Genomic DNA, 23,895 nt, shown 5'->3' on the forward strand with positions numbered 1-23,895 from the left:
AGTAATGAGTATTTATTTTTTCTTTAAAAAAATACAAATGGAAGTGCAGATTGTCCATTTCTGTATTTATGAAAATGGCCATCAAAGAGTGACAGTTCCACAGAAGGCAGCCCCACATCCCACAGTGTATCCAGCCCAAGAGGCAGCCCAGTTAGTTAACTTCAGCTTTGAGAGCACTCTTGCAGGCTCAGAGCCCACAGGCTCAATTCTACCAGCAGACTGGTTATGTTTACCACCAAGCTCAAAAAATAAAACTGAATGTGAATGGTGTTTGGTGAGGCAAGCCATCTCCAGGCTTAGATTCATAGGAACTTCAGCCAGGCCAGCTCATTCATTCAGTTTTCCTGCCCAGTTCATTCTTTAAGGCATTTGAAACTGTGGCCTTTGCAGAAGACAGAAATGTTAAGACAAAATAGACCAACATTTTAACGGGCCCTTCAGTAACTAGTACTGCTTAATAATGTAAGTTTTCAAAAAAAAATCCAGAAGGTAACAAATGATCTTTAAATTCCAACAGGTATATGAAAAGGCACTCAACATCACTAATCATCAGGGAAATGCAAATTAAAACCACTATGAGATATTACCTCACACGCACAAAAATGGCTCTTATAAAAAATACAGGAGATAACAAATGTTTGCAAGGTGTGGCAGAAAGGGAACCTTAATACACTGTTGGTGGGAACGTCAATTGGTACAGTGATTATTAAAAAGAATATGGAGGTTCCTAAAGAAATAAAACTAGGGCTACCACATGACCCTGTAATCCCTCTTCTGGGCATATACCCAAAGGAGATGAAATTACTACCTTGTAAAGATACCTGTATTCCTATGTTCATTGCAGCATTATTTACAAAAGCCAAGATATGGAAACAACCTAAATGTCCATCCGTGGGCAAATGAATAAAGAAAATGTGTGTCTGGTGTGTGTGTTTGTGTGTGTGTGTGTGTGTGTGTGTGTGTGTGTGTAATGAAGTATTATTCAGCCTTAAAAAAAGAAGACCCTGCCATTTGCCACAACAGTAGTAGACCTAGAGGACATTTTGCTAAGTGAAAAAAGCCAGACATAGAAAGAAAAATATTGCATCTTCTCACTTACATGTGATTTTTTTTTTTTTTAAAGAGCTCAAACACACAGAGATCAAGAATCAAGGAAGAGCACGGTGGCTCTTGCCTGTAATCCCAGCACTTTGGGAGGCTGAGGCGGGCGGATCACTTGAGGCCAGGAGTTTAAACCAGCTGGCCAACATCGTGAAATCCTGTCTCTACTAAAAATACAAAAATTAGCTGGGTGTGGCGGCACGTGCCTGTAGTCCCAGCTACTTGGGAGGCTAAGGCTGGAGGATCCTTAAGCCTGGGAGGCAGAGGTTTCAGTGAGCTGAGATTGCACCATTGCACTCCAGCCTGGACTACAGAGTGAGGCCCTATCTCAAAAAAAAAAAAAAAAAAAAATCAAACTCTGTTACCCATGGGCAGGGAGTAGGGGAGGAAATGGAAAGATGTAGGTCCAAGGATGCCAAACAGCAGATTTGTGGGATGTACAGTGAGGATTAATGTTCATAAGTTTATTGTGGAGGGATTTTTGTTAAGTAAATAGATTTAAGCCGCTCTTGTCACAAAAAGTAGCTATGCGAGACGATAGATATGTTAATCTGATTCACTACAGTATCCATTTTGCTATCTACATATCCCATAACATCACATGATAAACCACATATGTACACAATAAAATTTATTAAAAACTCAATTCCTTTATTCGTTTCCATGTTGTTTGTAACATAAAGTTCAAAGTTCTTGATACCGGTATCGAAGGCCCCCCTAAATATGACCTCAACTTTTCAATTTTATTCTACGCACTAACCTCAGCCCCAAAAATCCTATTTCTATTGAATATAACATATCTTTTCACTCAGGTCTTTCTCCCTATTCTGTCTCCAGTTGCCATCATTGCATCTGCTGCCATTCTAACTTATTCTGTTCATTCTAGGAGAAAAAGATCATCCTGGGTGAAGCTGCTGTGAGCCCTCATGTCTCCTTAAATTCTCCAGACACGTCTGTCTACTCAACAAATATTTAGGGAATGCCTACTGTATACCAAGCCTGGTTTCAGGTCTGGGAGATCCAGTGTCCAACAACACAAAGGACCTTGACTTCAGAGAGCTTTTGCTCTAGCAGGGAAAACAGACAGTGCATAGATAGACCAACATGTATTTGCTGTAATTGCAAGAAGCAGTAAAGGCTATGGAGAGAAATTCCAGGGGCAGGGATTAGAGATGACTTTGAGGACTTCAAGGATGACTTTGAGCAGGTAAAAGTGGAAGACAGGAGAAGTGGCTGGGGTGATGGCAGCACCATGGGAATATGTGGAAGGATGTTCCTAGCAGACAATACAGAAAGTTGGAAATTATTGCAGAGAGCATAGCATTGGTGAGGAATGCTGAAGGCCTGGGAGAGGTAAAGTGCAAGGACAAGAGGAGGGAGCAGCAGGTGCAGGCCTGGAGGGCATGGCAAAGAAGAGTGGGTTTTATTCCAAGTGTGAAGGGAAGCTGTCAGAGGGTTTGAATCAGAGAATGGTACATAGTCTATTTTGTGGTTATGAAGGGTCTCTCCAGCTGCTGTGTCGGAAGCTCAGAGACAACACTGCAGTGGTCCTGGTGAGAGCTGCTAGAGGCTGATTTATATGGAAGGAAGGATGGCAGGATCTGCTGGTAGACTAGATTGGAGGTGGGGAGTGAAAGAAAGAGAAAGTCATGGATGACTGCAATGCGTGGCCTGACAACCGGGAATGAGGAAGAATTAAGTAACAGCGAGAGAAGAGCAAGTGTGGTGGGCAATGGAGATTAGGAGTCCCATCAGGCATGTGCAAAGCTTGAAGTGCCTCTTACGTAAATAAACAGAGATGGTCAAGAGAGCTTCATAGTAGGTCACTGGATGCTGGTCTTGAATTTCCAGAGCTGAGCATAACTTTGGAAGTTACCAGTTTTGATTATTTCCATATTATTGTGAGAATTATTTTAGTCTTATTATCTCCATTGTATGTGGAAAAATCTGTTTTCCCACTATATTAAAAACTCGGTGGAGAGAGAACATCATCGGCAGAGTGGTTTGCCTCGTGACAGATAAATGCAAGTAGATAGTATAAAATGAAGGCTCAATAAATACTGATAGAACTTGTGATAATACATTTTTCTTTATGGGTAATTTACTTGATATAATAATTTTTGTTATAAGAACAGTTTTAAAGACTTTTAAACATGTTTAATGTTGTTCCACTGGCATTATTTATTAAGAATTATGATGTAAAATACCTTATCACTCAAAATATCAAACTTCAGGAATATTTTTGTTGTTGTCATTGTTAACTTATGACATGAGGATGCTGTATATGAGAAATTAAAGATTTCAGTTAGTCCAGAAAGGCCTTTAAGTAGTATTAATTTAAGAAAATATTGTAATATGTAATTATCTTTCCCTGAAGTCAAGCTACCTGTATGTATTTTTTCTATTCCTTCACTAATACGATTTTTAAAAATATACTAGATTTCAAAACAAAATAGTACATTTTAAAATAAATAGCATAATTGAGATATAATTTACATATAATACAGTTCACCTGTTTAAAGTGTACAATTCAAAGGTTTATAGTGTAATCACAGAGCTGTACAACCAACACCACATTCTAATTTTAGAACATTCTTGTTACCCTTAAAATAAAACATGTACTTATTAGCAGTCACCTACCCCAGCTCAAGGCAGCCACTGTTGTGCATTTTTCTCTATTTATTTTGGAAACTTCATATGCATAACATGACTAATTATGGGTCTCTAGTGAATGACTTATTTCATTTTACATAATATTTTCAAGTTCATCCATACTGTACCAGGTATCAGAATTCATTTTTTCTCTGAATAATATTCATATACATATTTTTATTTATCCATTTATCTTTATCCACTTATCACTTGCTGGACATGTGGATCATTTCTACTTTTTGGTCATTGTAAGTAATACTGCTATGAACATTCATTTAGACATTTTTTCAATTGACTTTTTTTTTAATTTCTCCTGGCCATATACATAGGAGTGGAATTGTTGAGTAATAGTAACTTTTTAAAGAAACATCTATTTTTAAAAACTATTATATAATTCAGAAAATATTTTTAATTATCAGGAAAAATTATCTTCTTTTACTGATAAAATATGAAAGAAAAAGACTGCTGAATTTCTTGTGTATGGCCAAATTTTAATTGAATAGTTGGTTCTTTCACGAAACTTGTGAAAAACACAAGTACTCTTCATTCAACATTGAATGGAGATACTAAGTTGTTTTCCAGGGAGAAAATAATTATTCAGATCTGTAATAGAATTTCATGTTAAGCTGACCTAGGTTAGGCATTTTATTAGGGATTTTCTAGTTGGCAGGTTGTAGGTAACTACAGGTTTGTAGGTAACTGAAGGTTTTTAACTATAAAAAATGGCAGTGGTATCTAGCAGGAAGATAGGGCTTCTTCAAGTTTTCTTTCCTTCATTTACTTAGAATAGAGGACATCTGTTTCTAACTAGCCCAGAGGAGATTCATGTATTTTATATGGTAGCTTTTTTTTGTTTGTTTTTAATGGAAAGGAAGTTAAATGAGAAACAAGCAATTGAGGAAACTTAGGGTTAAGAAACCTGTTTATGTATCGTTAAAAGCCCATATCACATCCTTTTTTTTTGCTTTTTATTTTAAACATCTCCCATCATGTCCTAGATGCCTAGATGTTTATTCTCCATTAAAAAAAAAAAAAAAAAAAAAAAAAAAAGGGGCAAACACACCCAAGACAGTAGGGATTGCAGAGCGACTTTTTCTAGAGTGCCAAAATCAGGCCTTTTGGTTCTTACATTGTCTCAGCCTCTTAATATTGAGATTCTTTCAAACAATAGCCTGCTATATTTATTGAAATCATAGGAAATAACTAGACCTGATGCTCAAATTGATAATTGAAGAGCCAAGTGGAAAAATAAGCTTAGAAATCTCGAACTGCATTAAGTAGAAGACTAAATGTTGCTCAAAGTAACTGAATGCTCTTCCAATGCAATGCAGCGTGGCTCCACCCTGTGTCATCATCTCCCAAGCCACACACTCTTGCTAGCCCTTTCTGCTCCGAAATCCCACTTTCTGCATAAAAATGAATTAGCCTCAGCAATTAGAAAAAAATAGTAATAAGCTATCCTGTTCTGTCCTATACAAAAACATTACATGACTTTTGACAACTGGAAATATTCATAGGAATATTTGGCCATTAATAGAAACATGAAATATATTATGTATTATTATTGTTTTATGACACTTGAGATGGTAAATGTTAGAGGATATTGTGCTTTTTTATGAAACCTTTAAAAGCAATGTTTCAGCTCTTTATCTTATCTTGTATAAGAACAGTATTTGGATATCTGAGATTAGTCATAAATGCTCTAAACTAATGCATAATCTAAGGAACTTATTAATATTTGATATACTCATGTATATTAATGTACATATTACATATCATATAGTGGTATATTAATGACATTAATATAATGTATTACTATATATTATATATAACAGTAATATATAATCATTGTAACCATTGATGAATAATACTAATGATAAAAGGAAGTTTAATAATAAAAAACAAGCTGAATTGCTTGCCTGGTAGAAGCCAAGTCACTAACCAGGTGTGAATCTTGAGCAAGTCATTTAATCTCTCTTAAACCTTTCATTTTCATCCAGGAAATTAACTTTCACACATTGACAATAAAATGCAGTTCTAGTATTCTGACTTCAGCATAACCTTTCAAATTCAAGTTGTTTTTTCTTGAGCAGTTTGCTAAAAAAGCAGCTTCACAGATGAGGGAAAGACAAGCCTGGCTGTGCACGATTACAGGCTTGCAACTACGCACACGCCCCCAATCTCACAACTGATGCAAAATCAGAAAGAAAACACCAACCAAACCAGTCTCATCACCTGAAAGCAGGGCCAAACCAATCTTTCACTTATTAAAAAAAAAACAAAAACAACAAAAGCTGGAAAATACTACGCTTTCCCTGCTAAATTTAAAACTTGGATTTAGGAAGCTCATTTGCCTTTTGTTAGAGAACACTGTGATTATTCATTGTGAAAATAAGCCCAACATCAAAATAAATGATTATTTGCGAATTGTATTTTAACAAAATATATTTTAACAGCTAGTAAATTCAATTATAAATTTGAGATGTATATATGCCTGTTTAAAAAATGATTTTCTATTTCAAACAGAAATTGGCTCAAATATACAAATTCAGCCTGCTGTTTATACAAAAGTGATTTGAGATTCTACTGTTAGCTTATATATTCTCTTTTAGTAGTATATTTACATATTACATATTGTTTTATAATATTATATACAAACGCATACATATGTACTCAAACACACCAGTCTTGGAAATCTTATTCCATATTCATCAAATAGAATTGATTGCTCTATTTCTCACTATTCTAAGGCTTTAGCTCCAGGAAATTTAAATATTAATTATAAAGCATATTAATAACTACGAAACCGTTGTCTAGGTTTCCTGGAGCCAAACTCTCACAACAATGATTTTTGTAGCAAAAGATTTATAAGAAATAGATTTAAATAGAAATCCAGATGTTAGAAAAATGGGTCTTTGAATATTCAGTCTTCAACGACCAAACACTTGTCAGTTTGTCCTTGAGCTGTAGGTACTTCACACAATGTCTCTTTTACAATGTTATTTCCAGTTTTCTTTTCAAAATTTCAGTATATCTTATTATATGCAGATTCAGCTCCTCACTTTAGCCACCATAAATGGAGAAGGGATTAATACAATCAGAAGTCAGCAACAAGTTATTAGCCATTTCAAAAGACTGCCTTATAACTGTCAGATTATAAGGCTTTCAAATAGACTCTCCTTTGAAATTCCTGAAAGAACAACTGGTTTCAATTGGTTTAACTACAATTATTATTATTATTATTATTTTTTGAGTTAGGGTTTCACTCTGTCACCCAGGCTTGAGTGCAGTGGTGCAATCTCAGCTCACTGCATCCTCCACTTCCCAGGCTCAAAAGATCCTCCCACATCAGCTCCCCAAATTAGCTAGGACCACAGGTATGCGCCACCATGCCCAGCTAATTTTTCATGTACTTCATAGAGATGGAGAGGTTGCTATGTTGCCCAGGTTTGTCTTGAACTCCCGAGCTCAAGTGATCCACCCACTTGGGCCTCCGAAAGGGCTGGGATTACAGGTGTGAGCCACAGCATTTGGCTTGCAATTAATCTTATATTTTCCTTTTATAAAATCCATATCCCGGTAGAACACCTAATTAAAGCTCAAATATGTTTGTGATGATCATATTGCTATTTGAGTGATAGCATTCATTTTCACTGATGTTTTCACACCCAATTCCTCCTCTTCCCCTCCATAACTTTGGGGAAAATCAGCAATTAAGCTCAGTTCATTTCATGATTCTGAAGAATTGCTGCCCAAAGACACTGTAAACAGAACAGAAGAGGAATGCTATCTCATTTGAGCCTACAACGGAGGGTCTGATTTCATTACTTTTAAATGGAAAAATCAAGGAAAATCAGGGCCAGAATCACAACAGAGGTCGAAAGAGTTTTGTATTCTACAGATTTCTAAGGCAGCACCAAAATACAACTAAATTTTATTAAGTACTGAATATTTTTCAGACACCACATTACATACTTTAAAACCTGTCTAATTTAGTCCTTACTATAATCCTGCAACATTATATTTTATGCCCAGTGTATTGATATCAAAATAGTTGAGAAAGTAAAAAGCTAGCTCTGCCACCGTAGAGTTTGCCTTGTGAGGCCTTGATACTCTGCGGCTGAACTCAATTTCACAGAACAGCAACGCCAGACAAGGACATTCTGTGACCATGATGGACCACGAGCTCTGCATTCACACCTGAGCACAGACAAAAACACAAACTTTGTTCATACCACAGAAATGGTCAAAATTCTCTCCATCCTGGCTCATGGGATGGACTGTTGCTTCCTTAAAAATTACAGCTTTAGTTTCACTCGAGTACCCTCTCCTTCTAAATAAGATTTATTAAGATTCTCCAGTTATAGAAATTCCCACGCCCATCCTATGTTCTGCTTCCTGACAGCATCTAGCCCAAAGCAAGGCTCCACTCTTAAGCCCTCCCCAAATCCCCTGACCTGCCCTAAACCGTCTGAGTCCTCCTAATACCTTCTTCCTGAGATGTCCCATGCTTTCCCACGCTGGGTTCCTCTTTGCTGCTGCAGAAAGAAGGCTGTTCACAGTGACACCGGATGGAGGGCATCCACAGTAAAAGTCAAGAAGTTTGAAGTGACTTCTTCAGGGGACAGATATTTTAGTGAGCAGAAGCAAGTCTCAAATCCGACTCTTCCGTTGTCTGTACATAGTGTGACTAGATCGTATTGTCGCCCAGTGCTTATTCTACATGGCTTTAAAATATATGACATGTGATTGGGGTCACTAGAAACTCAAATATTAGATTTATAGGCATTCAGAGGAGAGAGAAATTACAGACGTTTGGTGGAAGGGGTTGGCAAGCAAAATCTATAGAGGAGGAGAAAACATATGCAAATGTGCAGAGGAGAAAAATAATAATGCACAATGTTACAATACTTCATAAATTCCCAAATACCAGCCAATACCAACAAGATGATAATATTTAACAAGTCTGCTACGGTGAGCTCAGTCCTAAGTGCCTTACATGAATTAACATGCTTTCTCATAACAACATTATGAGTCAGGTAACTATTTCTATTCACACACTACAAATGGAGAAACTGAGGCAGGGAGACTTTATCTTTGCTAAGGTCTGATGCAGCTACTAGATGGCCACTCCAGGGGCCAATCTTGTATAATAGAAAAAATAACTGCATATCTACTCAGAATATTGATGTTTCATTTCGTATGTTAAAATTAACTACAATCATATTGTGATTTTACAAGTATTGCTGTTTCAACATTTTATGAAAACAAGGTTATTCCTCTCTTCACCTCCGTCTAATGGCTTCATTGTTGAAAAGCATTTTGAATACCTGAAAGCAGTTACCCCAAGCACATCACCTTCACTTCCCAGTCATCTGAGTAGCAATGTTTCTGGCTGTCTTTGATGGCTTTACTGAAAGTCAAATGCCAAATATGTGTAATGTTAGTACATTTGGTTGGTTGGTTCACTTCTCTCTGGAGTTTATCTGAAGCATACATTGCACTAACAAAGTGATCTTTAGAAAAACCTGGTTTACTTTGGCTGGGTGTCGTGGCTCACGCCTGTAATCCCAGCACTTTGGGAGGCCAAGGCGGGTGGATCACGAGGTCAGGAGATCGAGACCATCCTGGCTAACATGGTGAAACTCCGTCTCTACTAAAAATATGAAAAATTAGCCAGGCGAGGTAGCACACACCTATAGTCTCAGCTACTCTGGAGGCTGAGGCAGGAGAATCACTTGAACCTGGGAGGCGGAGGTTGCAGTGAGCCAAGATCATGCCACTGCGCTCCAGCCTGTCCACAGAGTGAGACTCCATCTAAAAAAAGAAAAAAGAAAAACCTGGTTTAGTTCAATATCTAGACCTTGACGTTGTAAAGTCACACTGAGGCAGGACAGGTGAGCCCCAGCTTGGGACTCGGCTCATGAGGGTCCTTGGCTTTGTCCAGGAAATAATTCAAGGGCCAGTGGTGGAGCAGAAGAAAACAGCTGTATTGAAGCAGCTGTGGCACAGCTCCATGACTGTCCTACAGAGCAGGGCTACCCCACAGGCAGGGAGGGGCAGCTCAGGGCAGTTCTGCAGTCATATTTAGTTCCGCAGATTGAGGGGCAGTTTTTGCCGAAATTTCTAGGGAAAGGGGCAGTCATCAAGGGTACTTCTGGTTCATCAGGTCATTGTCATGGAAAGGGGTGGTAAGTAACTCCAGAGTGTTGCCATGGCAACGGTAAACTGACATGGGACACTGGTGGGCATTTCTTATGGAAAGCTGCTTCCACCCGCTCCCTTTTTTAGCTAGTCCTCAATCTGGTCCAGTGTCCAAGCCCTGCCTCCAGAGTCGAGTTCCGCCTCTTACCTCAATACCCCAAAAGACTAAATATTATACCACATCTGTATTCCATTGTGTTGATTTTAAAAATTCTTTTGGCCACCTATTACAATAGACATCAAAACAGCACCACTTGAATTCACTTCAAGCCAATATGTCTTCCAAAATAATATTTTCAAAATAAGCATTCAAAAGAACACATCCTAGTGTGAAGGACTGCATAAGGATTCGAAAATAAGACAACATTTTTTTAGGGGTTTTCTTTTTGGAAAATAAACCTATCTTTGATATTGGGGTCTATATTTGGGGAATTATTAATTACTACAAGCTTACCAATTATCACTGTCCTAGATGATGCTTTCTGGCAAAATAATTTATTAAAATGTGAATCTGAAGTTATTTTTTCAACTTTTTCACTTGGACAAAGACTCAAAACTATAGAAAAGTTGCCTTAGCGATCTATTTTTGTGTTGTTCTTATGCTACACATCCTTCTCCCTCTCCCATTCCAAGTACTCAGCAAGTCTTCCATATTTCCTTGCCTCAGAGGAGGTTTGTACTGTGGGAAACTAGCCATTGTTTAAGACTGAAGCATCCCATCTTTTTTTTTTTTCTGTTATCTGAGCTAACTAAGGTTTATTACTATTGCAATAGAGGAAGGAAGTGTCTTTGAAGGATGAAGGTAAACGTAATAATAGAAAGCACAAGTATTGCCTCAAGCCTAGATCAATGGTGGGGTTCCATGAATAGAAGAGATCACAGATTCTCTTTTTCACATTGTCCCAGCACTAGCGCTGGCAGGTCTTCCAGGAGAATGGCTGAAAGCACATGAAGGGATGCAAAACCAGAAAGAGGCTTGGACCTGCAGGAGAACAGGATGTGCCATCCCAAAATAGAAAGAATTTTGAGCTGAAGACAATTAAGGAGAAATAGATGCAAGAAAGGTCTCTGCCCGCTATTTGCCTAAAAGCAGGGCATAGTTTTTCAAAGACAAAAGGTATCCATCCCTCCTCCTTACCAGGGAGAACAAAGATTAACCACTGAAGACAACTTTAGACCTTTATTTTATGGAGAGGGCACCAGAAGAATGTACATGGACAAGCTTTGCTAAGGAGCCTTTATCTGCCATTGTCTCTCTTCCCACAAGCAGCCGCTCCTAGAGACTCAGAGTCCTTTTCCTTTGTCTTATCATTGCCATAAAAATTTACTGTTCTCTTTTGCAAATGCTACGTAAGCTGGAATTCAAAGACATCTTTTTGAAAACTATTCATTCTCTGGTTGTTTCCCATGTATAGGTGAAATGTACGTGTTAATAACCTTTTATTTTCCTCTTCTTAATCTCTCTTTTGTTACAGGGATCCTTCCAACTAAGAACTTATGGAAGCTGAGAAAAAAATTACAATTACTTTCCTACAGGTCCAAGGCAGTATGGGAGATTCAAGACATCAGACTTACGGGACACATGTCAATGAACAAATGGGTGTTTGGGTGGTTATTGGGCCTATGATTTGAGAAGCTTCTCCTATATCTATCTATCTATCTATCTATCTATCTATCTATCTAATCTACCTATCTATAAATCAATTTTTTTTGGTTCATCATAAGAACCTTTGAATGGGCCCAGGTTTGAAGGCCAGCCGTGCCATCAATAAAACTGAGTACAAAATACATGGCTCTGGCATGATTAAAATAAATGTAAGGTAAATTTTCTTGCACACCTGAATTGTTTGAAGAAGAGTTACACCTTTCACATGGAAGTATAGAATAAATTAATATATGTTACTTTTATTAACTGAATCCTGCCCTTCTTTGCTCAGAGATGTCAAAAAATGTGCTCAAGATCACACAGCAAGTAAATGGTAGAGCCTGGTCTGTATGATTTAAAGCCTATACTCTCCCCCACTTATCTGCTGGCTGTAGCCTGAATCATTGCATAGATGACAGGATATTATGGCAAAACAGCAGTCAAGCTAGTAAAGTATAGTTTGTTGGTAGGCAGCAGAGAATAGAGCAGATCTGACCTTTGTTTATTTAACAAGTATTTATCCTACAATTCCTATGCATAGAGGAGACATAGACTGTAACCTCAAAGATGTCCAGAAAGATTAAGCTGGTTATGTGACCTGCTAGCTGTATGGCCATATGCAGGTTATTTAAGTTCTCTGAGCAACATTTTATTCACTTACAAAATACAAGAAATAGGTGTACCCCTCTAAATGGAAGCTTTGAGGGTCAAATGCAGCCCTTTTGCAAAAGTGCAGTGTAATCACTATAGAAACTACTCCAGACTGAGAAAGTACTACCCTCACAGAAAACTGGGTGGCATCTAGTTCCTGAATGATGACAGTGATGACAGTAAGATTGGAAAGGTTAGGTGTGGGAAATGGTTTGAGAGTAAAGGAAAACAATTAAGACCACGAGAAATTGTATCTTTGGAAAACCAGGCTGATAGTATGTTGAGTATTAAATATCAGTATACTGAGTTCTTACTATGTGTTAGACACCATGCAAAGTTCTTTAACCCATTTACTCCTTATAACAACCTGTTATAAGGTTGTATGGCTATGATCCATATATAACAGGAAAGGAAACAGACTTAGCTAACCAGAGACCTGCCCCACATTACATAGTTTCATGAGGAATAAACACTGGGTTTGAAACCAACTCCATACAGCTGCAAAGCTCATATTCTTATCTGTTCTCATTACTAATAATAACCAGGTATTCTTACGCATGTATTCTGTAACACAGCCATCTGAACTGTGAATCTGAGGAATTTACTCCATGCTCTCCTTGTCAGCATCTTCACAACCCTGTACATTACGTTTCCCACACCCTAGGAGCTGAGACAGCTCCTCTGTCAGCCTCATTTGTGGATTGGTTGGAGTAGAAATTACCCTGGTGTACTCACTGTTTTAGCACAGATTTCGGGAAGAAAGAATAATTTCAGGACTTGCAGGATGGAAACGTAGGTAGCTTCATTGTTTTAGAAGAAAGTTGTATCTCAGGCATTGACTATGTCATGAAAGGAACTGAAAAAATCTCACAAAGAGGACAATGAGTTGATGATTCTGGGCTAAGTAGAATATAGAATGAAAGTAGCATGTGATAACAGAGTGACCCATTTCCAGGATGGACTAACTCAGTGGTTCTGATAAGAAAAGGAAAATGTTCACTGGGGGTTTGAATATTTAGGGTTTCAATATTAACTGGAAAGGTTGAAGCTCTTAGGTATGAACTGCAGGGTTTTAAGGAGAAAATGGCTGACATCTGATCCACATGCAATAAAGAGTTCTCATCCAGCTTTCTAAAGAAAACAAAGATGACAATGAGCGGAGTCAGGGTCTGAGAACGCAGACGTGGAGAAAGAAAAAGCAGAACGCAGAATAAAGGCCATATAAACTAACTCATCAGTGTGGCAGAAAGCATTGTGTGAAGGCAAAAAGCATGTGGTATTTACTTGCTGTTCTGTGCCTATTAAGTGTACCATATTAACAATCAACCAACATTCCACCATGTGAGGAAGTTGACTTTAAATATAAGCACCTACCATGAAATGAGCAAAGGAATTTCATTTAATTTGATGACTAAGTTTAAAATGTTTTTCAGCTTTATTAATGTATGCTGCTTTCACGACATTGCCAGCCTTCACATTGTTTTATTAAAATAATAAACAAAACAATTTAAGTAATCTTGTAGCAGTTAGCAATTGCATTTAGAAAAAAAAAATCCATAGTGGTGACTACTCTTTTAAGATCTCTGCTATAAACAGACAAATTGAATACAGCATGCAGGGACTCTGAGTGCAATCACATTCCAGCTTTCCAAATTGAGCACTACAGGGAAACTCTGAAGCCCCGCCCACCATGAATTCTGAATGTCTCGTGAGGGATTTACTAATATGGAGGCATTCACTGATATTTTCCCAAATAAACATTAAAGTTTGTGGTTTGTCAATTTGCAAAAGTGGACATGAATTCTTTAATAAACGCCAGACTTCAAATCTTCTAAATATCAACATGTTGGAAAATCTCATGTTGGATAAACAGGTTTATCCATTTACTAGGCTGACATCTGTGGATGAAGAGGTAGGATGGTGCCAGGCTATAGTTGGAAATGCATTCATTTACGTGGCCTAGGAAGATGGTCCTTACTATTTGTATATTCCTTCCTCATTATTTATTTTCTTATTTTTAAGTTGTATATGTATATGTGTATATCTGGGCTTCAATTCTGACTGATATTTTATGATATTTAGCTAAAGATTCTATCCTATTTGGTACAAAACCTATTGAAAATAGAGTTTAAAATATCAGAACATTTTATAAAATAGAGAAAATAGTCTTGAAAAACTAAAAGAAAAGAAAAAAATGAAGCAAAATATTGGCAAACAACATCCAGGCTTAATTTACTCCCCCATGTTACTGGGAATTTTTAAAAATTAAAACTTAAGGCCAGGCACAGTGGCTCATGCCTATAATTCCAGCACTTTGGGAGGCTGAGGAGGGTGGATCACAAGATCAGGAGATCGAGACCATCCTGGCTAACATGGTGAAACCCCGTCTCTGCAAAAAAAATACAAAAAATTAGCCGGGCGTGGTGGTGGATGCCTGTAGTCCCAGCTACTCGGGAGGTTGAGGCAGGAGAATCGCTTGAACCTGGGAGGCGGAGGTTGCAATGAGCCAAGATCGCGCCACTGCTGCACTCCAGCCTGGGTGACAGAGTGAGACGCTGTTTCAAACACCAACAAACAAACAAACAAACAAAAAACACTTAAGGCCAGGCGCAGTGGCTCATGTTGTAATCCCAGCACTTTGGGAGTCTGAGGCAGGTGGATTATCTGAGGTCAGGTGTTCGAGACCAGCCTGGCCAATGTGGCGAAACCCTATCTCTACAAAAAATACAAAAGTTAGCCAGGCCTGGTGATGCATGACTGTAATCCCAGCTACTCAGGGCTGAGGCGGAGAATCTCTTCAACCCGGGAGGTGGACGTTTCAGTGAGCCGAGGTTGCGCCATGTTGCACTCCAGCCTGGATGACACAGCGAGACACCATCTCAAAAACAAACAAAAACTTAACGTAAGCTCAAAAACGTAGTTTGGAGTACAGCAGAACATAACCTAGACAAAAACAACCCATGAGTCCTGCACAGAATAGAGAATGAAAGAGACAAAGTTGAGAAGACTCGATGCACTGAAATAAGTGAGAGATAAAATGATATAGTCAAATATGGGAGGATGGTAGTTTAATTTCTTTTTCCTGTGAAAATAAGTTAATTTTCATTGTCTGATTTCAAGTTAAGGAATTCGGTACTGGCACAGAAAGAAGAGGAAAGAGGACAGAATAGATAAGATCAAATATTATATTCAAATAATTAAATATAAAGAAGATCATTCCTTGGAGAGCTACACATGGCTCTGCTTTCTTAATTGTTCACATTTAGTCTACTAAACAGACTCAGCTGTTGGAATTTTGGGGCATCTAGGAGTTTGAGGGGTGAGAGGAGTTTTTTTGAAATGAGTGAAATGAAATTTGACTAATACATGTACTTAAAAAGAAAGGAGCTCTCCAAGGTACTTGGAGATAAATATTGTTTTTCACGTGTGCATTTGTCCACCTACTCGACTGCTATTTATTGGTTGTGTTATGTGTCAGTCAATTTTCTAAGTGCTCGGGATATTTCAAGCTACAAACCAAAGGTACCTTTTCTCCTTGAGCTGCCATTTTAGGGTAAGGGACAGTAGATACACATAAACATGATGGATGAGTAAATGTATAGTATTTTAGAGAATGATCACTGCTTTAGAAGAAGAAATAAAAAAAGCAGACCTAGCCAGAAATTGCCCATTTACTTATTTGGACATTCAGGAAGCATGCTGATTTTCAGACAGAACATTCTAAACAAATTTGAGAACATCATGGTCATATATTTGGAAAAGTGAATTTGAAGTAGAACTGAACGAGATAACAAGGCCAGAGTGATTCACAGGAGAAATGAAAGTGGGATTGAAATGCCAAGTGAACCATGAGGCCACAGTGATCCTGTGGGAAAGCAAATTGGAATAAGGTTGAAGTAAACTAGCAAAGCAAATGCACAGGGAAATGGCGCAACACTCAGAGGATGTGCATCCGAGTCAGCCTTCAGGTGGGAACTTGCGCAAGGGCATAATTTAGTGTCTGCCTTCAGGAGAGCTCTGCTAATAGCTGATAAAAATCACTAAGGAATGACTTGTGATATGTGTTTACAATCAGTCACAACTTACAGAATTAAAAAAATATATTATTTACAGGGGTCTCCAACCAGAACCACAATATTCAAAATTCTCAAAGAGGAAAAAAAAATTCTCTGGTCACTCAATTCCAATTTATTTGATTGCAGGTTATTAACAATAAAGTTGTATTGTGCACAGAATACTGAATGAAGAAGAGAATTCTTACGTTATACTGTATCAGAGGATCCGGGAGGAGGAAAAAAAAAAAAACTTTTCAAAGAAAACACATTAAAGGATGTAACTACTAAAGCCAGTAAAACTACTAAGTAATGGTTTCCAAAAAACCTACTGTTTTAAGAATGGTGTTCATGCCCCAAGGATGTCCCAGGGCACTGTTTCAGGAGGACAGCACTCAGTCCATGGTTTATCCAGGGGTTTCCGTCTGTCCATTATTATGAAGGCAATGGAAGCTGTTAAACAATAGCTGCTTTGGGTTGGGAAAAGGAAGAGTTGCTGAGGAACCCCATTAACTCTTTATCAGCCAAACAGAAGTTTCAGCATATAATATATAATATCAAAACATTAAATGAAATTAAATCTACCTGACCTAAAATAATGAACACTATTTTCTGGCCAAAGAAATGGTTTTCTTCCATTACAGCCAACTGTCTTGATATTACCAAGATTAGCAAGTAGAGAGAAAAGAAGTAGCTTGAGAAAGAGTTTTCAGGTATTATTCAGTTAGAATTAAGTATCAGTTAATTCTAGAGATAGTAACTATCTCAAACTACAGAGAATGGACATTTTAACAAATGTAGTGCTCTGGTTAAAGTTGCCAATAATATCTTGCATTAATTTTTATGAAATATGCTTTAAAAATTGGAATTGCGGAAGTAAAATGAATGCTGTAAGGATTAATTTTTTAATGCTTTATGATGATCTTTAGTGTCTTCTGTCAACATTATAAATATTAATTGTAATTTTTACATGAGAAAATTATAGCACACAGAAATTCATTTGTACTAGCTCAAGTTATACTTTTAACATTGTTTTTGGGGGTTCAGAGAAATATAATTGTTTTCTATATGTATAAGAAAAAATGCACATGAAAGCAAAAATGATCAGTTGCTAAAGGGGTCAGTCACACTGGTTCTCTGATGAAGATTTTCTGTTCTAAGAGTTTGTATTGTATTTCATGATTGAAAGAGTACAAATGAATTTCAGGCCTCCCTAAGCAACTTACATTCCTTCACTCAGTGTATCTTCACAGTAAATGTCTAGAAATAAAATGTTGAAGAGCCACGATTATTACAACAGAAAGTAAGGAGAGGATTGAAGCTATACCTGAAGAAATGAGCTCAGAGATTATGAGATGTCTTTTGACATAAATTGGAAAGCAGGGAAACATTTCATAAGGTAGGATTAATTGTGACCACAGTAGCTAACGCTTATTAAAGAGTCACACAGTGCCTGGCACCCAAATAAGCTTTCTACATTCAATTCCTCATGCATGAAGTTTATTCACCCAATCATTAATTTATCCAACCCTTATGATGTGATTCTCAACAGGGTTGCTTCTGTCACTGGTGGACGAACTCTTCCCTGTGTACGACTGCCTGCCCGTGCATCATAGAACGTTTGCATCACCATCCACTAAATGCTGGCAGGGTGCCCCAGTCTTCTAGAATGCTTCCCCGCATATTTTTCAACACATGGGGTAAGGTGATGCCAAGCCCAGGGTAGACCCCTGCCTGTGAGAGCTGAAAGAATATGACCTCTGACCCTGAGAGTCCATGCAGCAGTGGGGTCCTCTCCAAATCTCCACGGGATAAGGCTAAGAAAGACGTACCCAGTGATCTATGCTTTACACTGTATATTTTAACATACATTGAGGTACTTTCTCTAAGGTGTGAGGTCATACATCTAAACATTAAAAAATAGGAATATATAAAGTAAGCTTTATAAGAAGTGATTTTGCATTCACACAGCATGACTAGAAGGCCCCAAACTCACTGGATAAAATGCCTGCATCTTTAAACTGCGATGTGATACTGGCTCTAATATAAAGAAATGCATCCATGAGGACAAAATATGTGCCATTTCAATTAATCACAATTTATGCAATTGGAATTTCATTTGCAACAGAAAATTCATCCAGAGAAAATCTGACTTATAGTTCATCCCACCAAATTAAAACAAATAGTAAATCCCAGTAACTTTATACATATTCAAAGAAAAAACACTATTTACTATTTTACAATTGATTTCTTAGTGTAATAGAAAACCTATATAGTTTTTCCCCCGATCTCTACTTAAACTTAGTAACATAAAATAAAACTAACTTTCCAAGTCCTGATAAAATGTTTTCTTTCATTATAGTTTCATACAAAACGGTATATTAAGTTGACTATTATATCCCCCCTTATAAAGCACTAGTTAGAATAACAAATTCAAATGTATTATTCTATCTTACATGTAATGGTTTTAGTAGCTTCACTATTAATAATTAAATTATGCTTTGCTTTTGTCTTTTAATGGGGGTATATACAGGTATATCGTATGTGCTTCAAGAGGAGTTGCTCTCATCAGCTGGTTAGTGGGTGGCTAGCCCAGTGTCCCACAGTTTAAAGTAGCCCATTGCCAAATAAACTATATATACCTAGGAGTACAAGAAAGACTTTTGAAAAATACATAGGCATAGACCACTTTTAATTCTGTACTCTCCTGAAATTGGTCTGTTCAGGATCTTGGTGGAGATAGAAGAACTGGTTCTCCTTTTCTACCTCTGTTTTCACAAGCACCTTTCTTCTTCAACTTACACACACACACACACATACACACACACACACACACAGAAACACACACTCACACACAGCGTATCTCTCACATATCATAAATCTTACTAGGTCCCTATCTTAAGGGATACGATTTTCCAGGTTGCATGTAAAAAAGGAGACAATTAGAGATACTGTTAAAGGTAATAAAGAAATAAATCCTCTTCCGCTTGCAACAAAAATGCTTTTGCAATTGAAGGAGAAAATAATGGATTTATCTGTTGACCACAAAGAAAAACCTCATTTCCCAGAGCTGGGCCTTATGTTCCCTCTTAATGCTATTGGATATTTTTCTCGTATTTCGTATCCTCTCCCCTACGCCACTGAAACAAACACAAATACTTATTTTTCCTTTAATTTCTTGGACCCTTTCTCAATCTCTCCATATAGACGGCTCATCTTATACCACTTCTTACAGTGTTTCTCTCCAATATAGTTTTAGGTGTCTAATCTTTTTGTGCATCCTTTAAAGAAATTCATCCATCCCTAAAGTTTCACTGATAAATATTTGTCTTCTATCTTTTCCAGAATTTATCTGTATATATGTGGTTTCTTCTCTACAGGCCACCTACTAGATTCAGTTTAAGATAAACTTTCCTTCAGTTCATATTTGTCTGGTGAATGATATTAAATAATTTTCATTTCCCTAGGAGATTTGAAATATCCAGATTTTTTTTTTTTTGAGACAGTCTTGTTCTGTAGCCCAGACTGTACTGCAGTGGTGTGATCTCGACTCACTGCAACCTCCGCCTCCTGAGTTCAAGAGATTCTCCTGCCTTTGCGTCCCGAGTAGCTGAGATTACAGGTATGTGACACCATGCTCGACTAATTTTTCTTTTTTTTCTTTTTTGTATTTTTAGTAGAGACAGGGTTTCTCCATGTTGCAGGCTGGTCTCCAACTCCTGACCTCAGGTGATCCACCTGCCTCGGCCTCCCCAAGTTCTGGGATTACAGGTGTGAGCCACCGTGCCTGGCCCCTCCAGATTCTTTGAAAGGAAGTTCTGCAAAAATGACATGTTGAAGAAATTTAGGAGTGTGAACTCCTAAGCTCAGTATGTCTAACTGGATCTATCATTGGTTTCTCATCTGAAACTACCATTTGGTAATTGTTACTATATGAATGGATAAACCAGTTGGCAGTTGCAAAGGGAGATGGATGTCAGAGGATTAAGGAGAAGAACTAATGAGGTCATTCTGAAAATTATCCAGGAAATGGTACTGGATATCATAAGGAGGGAGGAATTCAGAGCCATTGTTCTCCACATTTGCTATTCCCCTGGGTCATCAAAGACAGCAAAACATTGCCATCAAACATTGCCTTCAATATGCACTGTCATTCTCCAGGTGGCATAGTTTAATGTTCACGGGTATTTTAGAATCTCAGTAGCAAAAGTGCCCTTGTGCACCACTGCACAATAAGAAATTTTTTTTAATTTTATTATTATTATACTTTAAGTTTTAGGGTACATGTGCACAACGTGCAGGTTTGTTACATATGTATACATGTGCCATGTTGGTGTGCTGCACCCATTAACTCGTCATTTAGCATTAGGTATATCTCCTAATGCTATCCTTCCCCCCTCCCCCCACCCCACAATTTTATATGCATATCCAACTCCAACCTTTCTTGGGAATCACTGATACAGAGTTCCAGTTGTCAAGTCTAGTCAATGAGGTAACGGTTGGAGCAGGAGAGATTGCCTTCTTAAGGGTGGCTGCTCTTAGTTTTCAAGTCTTGGTGTCTGGAAGGTTGGTAGTACCTATCTATGGGAATAAGGCAAATCAGAATGATGGGTACATTTAAGATAAAAATAACAAATTATTTTGGTTTGAATTTTATCCCTAAAATGAGGATTGATTTCTTTTCTGATTATGAAAATATGTGATGAATCCAAAGAAAACCAATACTAAAAAAGAAGTAATTACATGCTATGTTATAACCTCTTATTTTCATTTTAAAATATAATAAGGATGCATTTTATATCAACAAATGTAAATCTACAATGGCTATATAAAATTTCATTATATGGAGTTACCTTTAATTTGTGTAGACAATTCCCCACTGCTGAATATGGAAGAGTTTTCAACGTTTTGGCTGTAAAATAATGATGAGCTTTGATTATACCTCTCTATACATATTTTTAAAAATTCTAAACAGTGCTATTATGGGGTCAAAGGGCAGGCCATAGAAACTTTGGGTACTTCTTAACAACCTGCACTCAAAAATTTCTTCCAGTTTAAATTTCCACAAATAATGCATGAAAATTTCTATTCCAACATTCAGAAGTAATATGATTTTTCAAATGCAAAAAGTTGAAGATGTTGGAAAAGTCAAGTGGAAGTGAGCCAGTTGATTGAAAATGATTGTCTGCAGATCAATAAAGAGGCCAGAGCAGAAGTAGAGGTTTGAGAGCTACTTCTTTGATTATTCGAGAAGTCATTAAAATTAATGTAATTTTTCAAATAAAAAAGTATGTGAAGGAAGATGACATTTCTAGGTTTCTATGTTAATACAATGTCAACATTTAAAGGATGGTACGAAACGGATCCACAGAAAAAAGTTAGAGCAGGATGATCAACCAAGCAGCAGGAAGAGGATAAGGGGAAGTATAACAGAAAGCAAGGTAGATGGGATGATTTTTAAAGCAGAATTAGAATACTGCATAATAATAATTAGCACTTGAAACATTTTGCCTCCCAAAGCCTCAAAGCACTTTGCAGCCTAATCATTTGTACCCTTGGTACAGAGATAGTAACTCAATAGGAAAACTTAGGGAAAACGAATAAGATGGATGGCTCAAAAGTTTACTCGACCTTGGCAATTTCAGGAACTCAAAACCTTGGGTTAAGAAAGGAAATGTTGACTCTCAGCTAAATTACTGTATATATAATATTTACGCATTCTCAGTTTCAGATGATTTCTAGAGCCATAGTTCAGCAGCTGCAGCTTAAAAGCTGTGAATTTAAACATCTCAGTATAACAGCTGAGGAACTTGTTCTCAGAGAGAGAGAGAGAAAAAAAAATATCCCAGGAGACATAGAGAGCTTCCAAGCTTCCAAGTTTAGCCCACCAGTTCTGTCCTTGTTTTCAACATGGGGTTTTGGCAAGATTAACCTGTAGAAAATCCGGCAAATCTCAAACATTTCAAGAAACTATATGAACCCCTATTTTTTATTGCATTTTAAATTAACATACAGTAAATTTGACTTTCTTAGTGTGTATAGTTCTATGAATTTTAACACATGGAGATTTCTGTAACTACCACCATCAGGATTAAGAAGAGTCCCGTCACCCCCAAAAACTCCCTCATACAATCCACTTACTGTCACACAATCTCCTCAATCCTGAAGTTGATGGTCAATAATCTGTTCTCATCTTCATAGTTTTGTCTTTTCCCAAATGTAATAGAAGTGGAGTCATGCAGTTTGTAACCTTTTCAGAATGACTTCTTTCACTCAGGATATGCCTTTGAGATTCATCTATGTTGTTGCTGCATGTATCAATATTTCATTTCTTTTTATTGCTGACTAGAATTTCATAGTATAGTTGTACCACAGTTTGTTCATCCTTTCACCCCGTGGAAGATGCTTGGGTTGGTCCCAGTTTGGGGGCATTATAACTTCTAAAAACATCTATGTACAAACTTTGGTATAAACATATATTTTTCTGTCTGTCTGGGTAAATACTTGAGTGGGATTTTTTTAGTCAGATGATAAATTGATATTTAATTTTATAAGAAATTGACAATCTGTTTTTCCAACGTGGCTCTACTATTCTGTGCTGTTTACTATTTTGCTTCAACAATGCACGAGAGATCTAATGCTCTGCACATTTACCAGCCCTTGGTATTGTCTATATTTAAGTGTCTGTATTATAAACACTTAATTTTAAATCATTCTAATGGGTTGTGGTATTCTATAGTGATTTTAAATTGCATTTTTGTAATGGCTAATGATGTTACATTTTGTGCTTATTTACTATCCATATATCCTATTTCATAAAGTGTCTGTACATGTTTTCTTCTCATTTTTTAATTGGTTTGTTTCTGTTTTCTAAACCATTGAGTTTTAAGTGATTTTATAATATTATACACACAGACATATTCTGGATACAAGTTATTTGCCAGATATATACTTTGCAAATAATCCCCATCCCCCTAAGTTGATGGTTTGTCACTTTACTTTTAACTGTCTTTTTTTACCATCTCAATTTTCATGTATTTTCTTATTATTGTAAGAGCTACTACTTCTCCATCTCTATTTTCTTTTCATGAGCATCTGTATGTTCAGATAAATGGGAGTACGATCTTAAGATAGCTTGAATTTTAAGATATACCTACCACAGTGCCTCTGAACTCACCTCTTCTGTGAGGATTCATCTACTGAAAGCTTTTCCTGGCAGCAATATATGTACCTCTTTCTGATGCCTTTATCTCTTAATTCTGTTTCAATTGATTGTTTTATGTTATCTATGTATCCCTAGCAGAGAAACTGAGGACTCCTTGTACAGGGTAGTTATTTGTGTAGATCATTTAATATGTATTATTCATCTCATCCATTATTTTCCAAGGCAATACAGCAAGCCTGACAATCTTAGAGGATTGAGTTGCATTCTAATGACAAATAAGGTTACTGTAGAAGGACGAACACTGGTAAATTATTGTTTAGCAAGGGGACTCTAACAGAGTGTTAGGAATTGCTGTTTTATCAATATAATTGATATGATTTAAAGATCAAAACAACAGAAGATAAACTGAAACTACAGGCAGGAAT

The 23,895-nt window shown here is 37.2% G+C and overlaps 1 protein-coding gene and 1 long non-coding RNA gene across 2 annotated transcripts in view; both read right to left on the reverse strand.

The window, feature by feature from the left end:
- The window catches only part of NALF1 (NALCN channel auxiliary factor 1), a 703,987-nt gene that overhangs the window by 339,310 nt on the left and 340,782 nt on the right, over positions 1-23,895 (reverse strand). The gene's annotated exons all lie outside the window — the stretch shown is intronic.
- LOC112268110 (uncharacterized) overlaps positions 20,683-23,895 on the reverse strand; it is a 31,815-nt gene continuing 28,602 nt past the window's right edge. Inside the window, exons 2-3 of the long non-coding RNA XR_002957493.2 lie at positions 21,159-21,217; positions 20,683-20,886 (exon numbers count right to left, since the gene is read on the reverse strand). This is a non-coding gene — a long non-coding RNA (uncharacterized LOC112268110). The remainder of the gene's footprint in view (positions 20,887-21,158; positions 21,218-23,895) is intronic.

Source organism: Homo sapiens, chromosome 13 (genome assembly GCF_000001405.40).
Source record: "Homo sapiens chromosome 13, GRCh38.p14 Primary Assembly".
NCBI lineage: Eukaryota > Metazoa > Chordata > Mammalia > Primates > Hominidae > Homo > Homo sapiens.